This window comes from Homo sapiens, chromosome 11, assembly GCF_000001405.40.
Source record: "Homo sapiens chromosome 11, GRCh38.p14 Primary Assembly".
NCBI lineage: Eukaryota > Metazoa > Chordata > Mammalia > Primates > Hominidae > Homo > Homo sapiens.
The window spans coordinates 65,322,902-65,331,851 of NC_000011.10; the positions used below are offsets into that span (position 1 = coordinate 65,322,902).

The 8,950-nt window shown below is 47.7% G+C and overlaps 1 long non-coding RNA gene across 1 annotated transcript; it reads left to right on the forward strand.

Moving 5' to 3' along the window:
* Positions 1 to 843: 843 nt before the first annotated feature.
* Positions 844 to 5,324, forward strand: LOC124902691 (uncharacterized). Its single transcript, XR_007062728.1, has 2 exons — positions 844 to 1,187; positions 3,487 to 5,324. It is a non-coding gene; the product is annotated as an uncharacterized LOC124902691 (long non-coding RNA).
* The last annotated feature ends 3,626 nt before the right edge of the window (positions 5,325 to 8,950 follow it).

Below are 8,950 nucleotides of genomic sequence, written 5' to 3' on the forward strand. Positions count from 1 at the left end.
TCAGTTTCCCCATCTCTAAAATGGAGCAGGCCAGGCATGGTGGCTCACACCTGTAACCCCAGCACTTTGGGAGGCCAAGGTGGGTGGATCATGAGGTCAGGAGATCGAGACCATCCTGGCCAACATGGTGAAACCCCGTCTCTACTAAAAATACAAAAATTAGCTGGGCATGGTGGCACGTGCCTGTAATCCTAGCTACTAGGGAGGCTGAGGCAGGAGAATCACTTGAACCCGGAAGCTGGAGGTTGCGGTGAGCCGAGATTGCGCTACTCCACTCCAGCCTTGGTGACAGAGTGAGACTCTATCTCAAAAAAAAAAAAAAAAAAAAAAGAGCCACTGATAGCTACCTCACAGGGTTATTGAGAAAACTAGGGATAACATTTATACTAGCCACAGGGAAGGGTTTTTTGTTGTTGTTGTTGTTGTTTTGTTTTGTTTTGTTTTTTTCTGTTGAGACGGAGTCTCACTCTGTTGCTCAGGCCGGAGTGCAATGGCACAGTCTCAGCTAACTAAACTCTGCCTCCCGGGTTCAAGCTACTCTCCTGCCTCAGCCTTCCAGGTAGCTTGGATTACAGGTGCACGCCACCATGCCTGGCTAATTTTTTGTTTTGTTGTCTATTTGTTTGTTTTTTTGTGTGTGACAGAGTCTCACTCTGTCACCTGGGCTAGAGTGCAGTGGCACAATCTCGGCTCACTGCAACCTCCGCTTCCCAGATTCAAGCAATTCTTCTGCCTCAGCCTCTCGAGTAGCTGGGATTGCAGATGCCTGCCACTGCTCCCAGCTAATTTTGTGTATTTTTAGTAGAGACGGGGTTTCACCATGTTGGCCAGGCTGGTCTCGAACTTCTGACCCCAGTTGATCCGCCCGCCTCAGCCTCCCAAAGTGCTGGTATTACAGGCATGAGCCACCATGCCCGTCCAGGAAAGGTGTTACAAATGGTTGCAGTGTGTGATGAAGGAAAGAACTGGGGCTCGGGAAGGGCGGGACTGTGAAGCTGGAACACAGGCTGGCGGCAGCAGGGAAGAGTTTCGCTGGCCAGGCTGACGCTGAGGCGATGGGGTGCTGCTGAAGGACGTGAAAGCAGAAGAGATAGGTGGTCAGATCTAGACCTGAGGAACGACATCACCCACGCCAGGTCGGGGATGGAGGTAGCCATGGCAGGCATGAGCAGGAGGACTGGACCCAGGTGAGGATGGTGGAGACAGAGAGGAGGGGAGTGGCCTAAGGTGGGGCCCGGTGGCCCCTTCTTCCACCCTCAGCCAGTTCTTTTCTACCTGTGTGACCTTGGAATCCCAGACACCCACCACTCCCCCAGCCTTTCACAAACATTACACAGTGTGTGTGTGTGTGTGTGTGTGTGTGTGTGTGTGTGTGTGTGTGTGAGAATGCATTTTTTTATTATTTCTGGACATTTTATTTATTTATTTATTTATTTCGAGACGGAGTCTTGCTCTGTCGCCCAGGCTAGAGTGCAGTGGCACGATCTCAGCTCACTACAACCTCCGCCTCCCAGGTTCAAGCGATTCTCCTGCCTCAGCCTCCCGAGTAGCTGGGATTACAGGTGCCTGCCACCATGCCCGGCTAATTATTTTTGTTTTTGTTTTGAGATGGAGTCTTGCTCTGGTGCCAGGCTGGAGTGCAGTGGCACGATCTGAGCTCACTGCAATCTCCGCCTCCCGGGTTCAAGCGATTCCCCTGCCTCAGCCTCCCGAGTAGTTGAGACTACAGGCATGCACCACCACGCCCAGTTAATTTTTTGTATTTTAGTAGAGACGGGGTTTCACCATCTTGGCCATGTTGTGATCCTCCTGCCTTGGCCTCCCAAAGTGCTGGGATTACAGGTGTGAGCCACCGCACCCGGTGCCCAGCTAATTTTTGTAGGCCAATTTTTGTATTTTTAGTAGAGACAGGATTTTGTCTTGTTGGTCTCGAACTCCTCACCTCAGGTGATCTGCCCACCTTGGCCTCCCAAAGTGCTGGGATTATGGACGTGAGCCACTGTGCCCGGCCTTATTTTATTATTATTTTTTTTTTGATACTGAGTCTGGCTCTGTCGCCCAGGGTGGAGTACAGTGGCACGCTCACTGCAACCTCCACCTCCTGGGTTCAAGAGATTCTCCTCCCTCAGCCTCCCGAGTAGCTGGGATTACAGGCACATGCCACCGTGCTCGGCTAATTTTTGTAGTTTTGGTATAGATGGGTTTTCACCATGTTAGCCAGGATGGTCTCGATTTCCTGACCTGATCCTCCTGCCTCGGCCTCCCAAAGTGCTGGGATTACAGGCGTGAGCCATCGTGCCCAGCCTTTTATTTTTATTTTTTGTAGAGATGAGGTTTTGCCATGTTGCCCTAGCTGGTCTCAAACTCCTGGGCTCAAGTGATCCTCCCTCCTCGGCCTCCCAAAATGCTGGAATTACAGGTATGAGCCACTGCACTCAGCCCGCATTTTTTTTTTTATTGTGGTAAAATATATATAATATAAAATTTACCATTTTAAGTATACATTTCAGTGGCATTAACTACATTTACGTTATTTTGCAACAATCACCACCATCCATCTCCAGAATTGTTTTCATGTTTCCAAACGGAAGCTGTGTCTCCATCAAACATTAGCTCCCATTCTCCCCACCCCCTAGTCCCTGCAACCACCATGCTACTTTCTGTCTCTATAAATCTGACTACTCTAAGTACCTCATTGTTAGCATCATGTCCTCAAGGTTCATCCATGTTGTAACATATGTCCCAATGGCCTTCCTTTTTAAGGCTGAATAATATTCCATTGTATACATGTATATACTACACTTTGTGTATCCATTTGTTCGTCCATGGACACTCAGGCTGGATGTACCGTTTAGCTATGGTGAATAGTGCTGCTATAAACAAGGGTGCACAAATATCTGTTCAAGACCTTGCTTTCAGTTCGTTTGGGTAAATACCCAGAAGTGGAATGGCCGGATCACATTTTTAATTTTTTGAGGAACTGCCATATTGTTTTCCATTGTGTCTATACCAATTTACATTCCCACCAAACTTTATGTTTTTGTTTCCCTTTTTTTTCTTTTTTTGAGACAGAGTTTCGCTCTTGTTGCCCAGGCTGGAGCGCTATGGTGCAATCTCCACTCACTGCAACCTCCGCCTCCTGGGTTCAAGCGATTCTTCTGCCTCAGCCTCCCCAGTAGTTGGGATTACAGGTAACTGCCACCATGCCTGGCTAATTTTTTACATTTTTAGTAGAGACAGGGTTTCATGATGTTGGCCAGGCTGGTCTTGAACTCCTGACCTCAGGTGATCCATCCATCTTGGCCTCCCAAAGTGCTGGGATTACAGGCGTGAGCCACTACTCCCGGCTAACTTTTTGTTTTTCACTTGAATTTTTTGTCATCATATGGAGACTGGAGATTTGATATACTATCAGGAATGGGATTTAAACCCAGGTCTGTGGGACCCCAACAGCCTGTATTTGACTGCATCTCTCTGTCCCTACAGGGGTTCAGCTTCAGGCCCTGGTAACGTTTGTGAAGACAGAGGGTCGGGGAACTGAAGGGCCAGCACCTTCTTACCTGTGGGGCCCCTCAGCACTTCAGTGGTTTATCTCCTGCTCTCTGGGGAGGGGAAGACAAGAAAAAAGGACACCATCCTTAGAGCTTCACCCAGTGGAAGACAGCAACTCACCCTGGACCTGAGCTGAGGCCGGAGTAGCCATGGAAGGAGGAGATTCTTGTCCTGGGTCCCCAAAGTGCTCTCAACTCACCCTGCATCAGGCACCAGCCACAGGGCCCTGGGAAACCACTCGGGGCTGGTCTGCCCTGTTGGGGTGGAGAAAGGGAACTAGGCAACAGAACTGAAGCATTGGATTAGCAGCTCAGGATACCGCCTTCAAACAAGGTAGCTGGCCGAGCACGGTGGCTCATGCCTGTAATCTGAGCACTTTGGGAGGTCGAGGTGGGTGGATCACCTGAGGTCAGGAGTTCGAGACCAGCCTGGCTAACATGGTGAAACCCCCTCTCTACTAAAAATACAAAAATCAGCCAGGTGTGGTGGCGCGTGCCTGTAATCCCAGCTACTTGGGAGGCTGAAGCAGGAGAATCACTTGAACCTGGGAGGTGGAGGTTGCAGTAAGCCAAGATCACACCACTGCACTCCAGCCTGGGTGACAAGAGCGAGACTCCGTCTCAAAAAAAAACAAAAAAACCCAAACCCTCCCTCCCCCCCAAAAAAAACAAAGTAGCTAAGGTAGAGAGAAGGACCTTCCCACTTCGGCTTATCTAGACACTATACTGCACAAACACACCTACAAAGGAATTCCCCAAAATAGGCAGAGAAGTTGTTGGACAATCAACAAAATGACAAATGCCCCTGCGGTGCACTGTTTTACATGCCCAACAGTCATCTATATCCTATTCTCTGTCTTCAAAAAACAGCAACAACATATCTGGCCTATGTAGTATAGTGAGTCTATCCCTCTTTCTGTCAAAAATACATTCACTCGGCCGGGCACGGTGGCTCACGCCTGTAATTCCAACACTTTGGGAGGCCGAGGTGGGTGGATCACCTGAGGTCAGGTCAGGAATTCAAGACCAGCCTGGCCAAGATGGTGAAACCCCGTGTCTATTAAAAATACAAAAATTAGCCGGGCGTGGTGGTGGGTGCCTATAATCCCAGCTACTCAGGAGGCTGAGGCAGGAGAATCGCTTGGACCTGGGATGCAGAGGTTGCAGTGAGCAGAGATCATGCCACTGCACTCCAGCCCAGGCAATAGAGCAAGACTCCGTCTCAAAAAAAAAAAAAAAAAAATTCACTCTCTCCGAAGGGAGACAAGTCAAAGTCTTGCTAATTATCATATCCACTCCCAAGTCTAGCGTTTCTGGATGATGTCCATTCCTCCTGCAATTCCCTTATCATCCATCTCAACATTTTGCAACCTATGAACTGTATCGTAAAGTTAATTACTACCAATACACCCTATGTACAGGAGCAGAGGGAAATAAAGAAGAATGAAGAATTAAAATCTATTAAAGGCCAGGAGAATGGCTCACACCTGTAATCCCAACACTTTGGGAGGCCACGGCGAGTGGATCACCTGAGATCAGGAGTTTGAGACTGGCCTGGCCAACATGGTGAAACCCCGTCCCTACTAATAATACAAAAATTAGCCAGGCGTGGTGGCACGTGCCTGTGATCCCAGCTACTCGGGAAGCTGAGGCAGGAGAATCTGGGAGGCAGAGGTTGCAGTGAGCTGAGATCATGCTATTGCACTCTAGCCTGGACAACAAGAGCAAAACTCCTTCTCAAAAAAAAAAATCTATTAAAAATATACTAACTGAGTGCAGTGGCTCACGCCTGTAATCCTAACACTCTGGAAGGCCGAGGCAAGCAGACTGTTTGAGTTTAGGAGTTCGAGACAGCCTGGGCAACATAGCAAGACCCCGCCTCTACTAAAAATACAAAAAAAAAAAAATAGCTGAGCATGGGTGTGCAACAGTGGTCCCAGCTTCTCTGGAGGCTGAGGTGGCAAGGATCCCAGGAGGCAGAGGTTGCAGTGAGCCAAGATTGCACCACTGCACTCCAGCCTGGATAACAGAGCAAGACTCTGTTATCAAAAAAACACAATTTTCTTTTTTTAATTCAGCTGGGTGTTGTGGTACATGTATGTAGCTTCAGCTGCTTGGGAGGCTGAGATGGAAGGATCGCTTGAGCTCAGGAGGTCGAGTCTGCAGTGAGCCAAGATCGTACCACTGCATTCCAGACTGGGCAACAGGAGAGACCACAGCAAGAAGAGCAATAATATATGGAGAAGCTACAGGCCAGGCGCAGTGGCTCACACCTGTAATATCAGCACTTTGGGAGGCCGAGGTGGGCGGATCACCTGAGATCAGGAGTTCGAGACCAACCTGACCAACACAGCAAAACCCCATCTCTACTAAAAATACAAAAATTAGCTGGGCGTGGTGGTGGGCACCTGTAATCCCAGCTACTCGGGAGGCTGAAGCAGGAGAATCGCTTGAACCTGGGAGGCAGAGGTTTCAGTGAGCCGAGATCACGCCACTGCACTCCAGCCTGGGCGACAGAGCGAGACTCCATCTCAAAAAACAAACAACAACAACAACAAAAAGAAATAATTTGAGGCCTAGGATTACAGTACATTCCTTCAGGAAGGATGTTACTTGGTACCAAATATGCTTGCTTTTGTCAGGTAACTGGGAACATTTCAAAAATGGGTCCATCTTGGGCCAGGAGGGGTGGCTCACGCCTGTAATCCCAGCATTTTGGGAGGCCAAGGCTGGTGGATCATGAGGTCAGGAGTTCGAGACCATCCTGGCTAACATGGTGAAACCCCGTCTCTACTAAAAATATAAAAAATTAGCTGGGCATGGTTGCTCGTGCCTGTAGTCCCAGCTACTCAGGAGGCTGAGGCAGGAGAATTGCTTGAACCTGGGAGGCAGAGGCTTCAGTGAGCCGAGATCGTGCCACTGCACTCAGCCTGTGCGACAGAGACTCCGTCTCAGAAAAAAAAAAAAAGAAAAAAAAAATGGGTCCACCTTAATCCAAGTTCAAGGCTGAGCTTTCCTCTCCCCCTTTCCTGGACCAAACAGATAATAGGATTCTGAACTATAAGTCCATGGAAATTGATTTGTATCTTACAGCACATACGTGTCAGTAGTGGGGTATCTGACTTCCTACTTTGAGCAAGCTCTGGGTTTTTATTTTCGTCCCTCCCCACAAAGACTGCCAAACAACAGTTTAACTTCATGGTTATATCTTCCAGATCAGTAAATGCCTCCAGGACAAAAACTGCTTCAAAAGCTGAACTTACCTCTCTGGGTTTTAGCTTCCTCAATGTTGGCACAATAATTCTTCACTGTACTATTAGCTTTTCAATGCTTTTAAGATTTTTTTTTCACTTCCTCTTCTTTTTTTAATTTGTCTTCAGAGGGAAGGTTGGAATCAAGTATCTAATCAGGAGCCTATCTCCCCTTACCTACCCGAATAAAATATTAAGAGCCATCCCAGGGGAGTTCCTCGGATTTTTCTCCCTGCCCCCACTGGGTAATAGCAATCTTAAGCTTTACAATTGGAATTGATCGCCCCAGCCAACAGTGGGACCCGCTTTTTATTTTCTTGCCCAGTGGCATGTGGAGCGAAATATGGCCTACTGACGGACGATCTGATCGTGATTTAGAGAAACTTACTGCGCCCCCTGGTGGAAGCATTATTCCCTTGGGTCTTAAAAGCTCTAAATCAGCCAGAGCGCAGAGTTGAGATTCCAAGAATGTGCATGTAAAATTCCTACTCCGTGATTCCTGTCTGTCAGAGAAACACTATATATACTGTTTTCTATATAGAGAGAGTACCTGTTGTTCGGCGACGTAACATGTCTTTCTTTCTTTCTTTTTTTTTTTTTGAGACAGGGTCTTGCTCTGTCACCCAGGCTGGAGTACAGTGGAGCCATCTTGGCTCACTGCAAACTCCACCTCCTGGGTTCAAGCGATTCTCATGCCTTAGCCTCCCAAGTAGATGGGATTACAGGCACCACCACCACGCCCGGCTAACTTTTGTATTTTTTGTAGAGACTGGGTTTCACCATGTTGGCCTGGCTTGTCTCGAACTCCTGGCCTCAAGTGATCTGCCAGCCTCAGCCTCCCAAAGTGCTGGGATTACAGGCGTGAAACACCACGCCCAGCCCGTAACAGCATTATGTGTAATAGCTCCAAACTGGAAATAACCCAAATGCCCATCAGCAGTAATATGGATTAAACAGCAATGTAAGAACTATTACCACAAAAGGACATGAATGAATCTCAGCCAGGCATGGTGGTTCGCGCCTGTAATCCCAACACTTCAGGAGGCCAGAACGCAAGGAATGCTCAAGGCCAGCCTGGGCAACATAGTGAGACCCTGTCTCTATAAAAAAAAAAATCAAAAATTAGCTGGGCATGGTGGCGTGTGCCTATAGTCCCAGAGAGGCTGAGGTGGGAGGATTGCTTGAGTCAGGGATGTAGAGGTTGCAGTGAGCCAAGATTGTGCCACTGAGATTTTTTTTTTTTTTTTTTGAGACACTGTCTTTTTTTTTTTGAGACGGAGTTTTGCTCTATTGTCCAGGCTGGAGTGCAACGGCACAATCTCAGCTCACCACAACCTCCGCCTCCTGGGTTCAAGCAATGCTTCTGCCTCAGCCTCCCAAGTAGCTGAGATTACAGGCGCACACCACCACGCCCAGCTAATTTTTTTGTATTTTTAGTAGAGACGGGGTTTCACCATGTTGGTCAGGCTGGTCTCGAACTCCTGACCTCATGATCCACCCGCCTCGGCCTACCAAAGTGCTAGGATTACAGGCATGAGCCACCATGCCTGGCTGACGCTGTCTTAAAAAAAAAAAAAAAAAGATTAGTCAGGGTGTAGTGGTGTGCCTGTAGTCTCAGCTACTCGAGAAGCTGAGGTGGGAGAATTACTTAAGCCTGGGAGGTCGAAGCTGCAATGAGCCATGATTACACGACTGCACTCAGCCTGGATGACAAAGTAAGACCCTGTCTTAAAAAAAAAAAAAATCTCAAAAATGTAATACTGTAGACAAAGCATTGTGGGGGCTGAAAAAAAAAAGGAAAAAATTAATATTGAACAAAAGAAGCCAAATTCAAAATAGGACATATTGTATGATTCCATTGACATACAGTTACACAGACACACTAATCTTTAGGGCTAGAAGCATGAGATGGCTACTGAGGTGCTAGTGATGTCTTTTTCTTCATCTGGGTAGTGGTTACACAGGTTTGTCTATTTTGTAAAGATCAATCAAGCTACAATTATTTTGCATGGTATACCTGCATCAAACCATCTCGTGTACCCATAAATATATACACCTACGATGTACCCACAAAAATTAAAAAATTGAAAAAAATTAGTCAAGCTATGAACCCGGAAGGCGGAGGTTGCAGTGAGCCGAGATCACGCC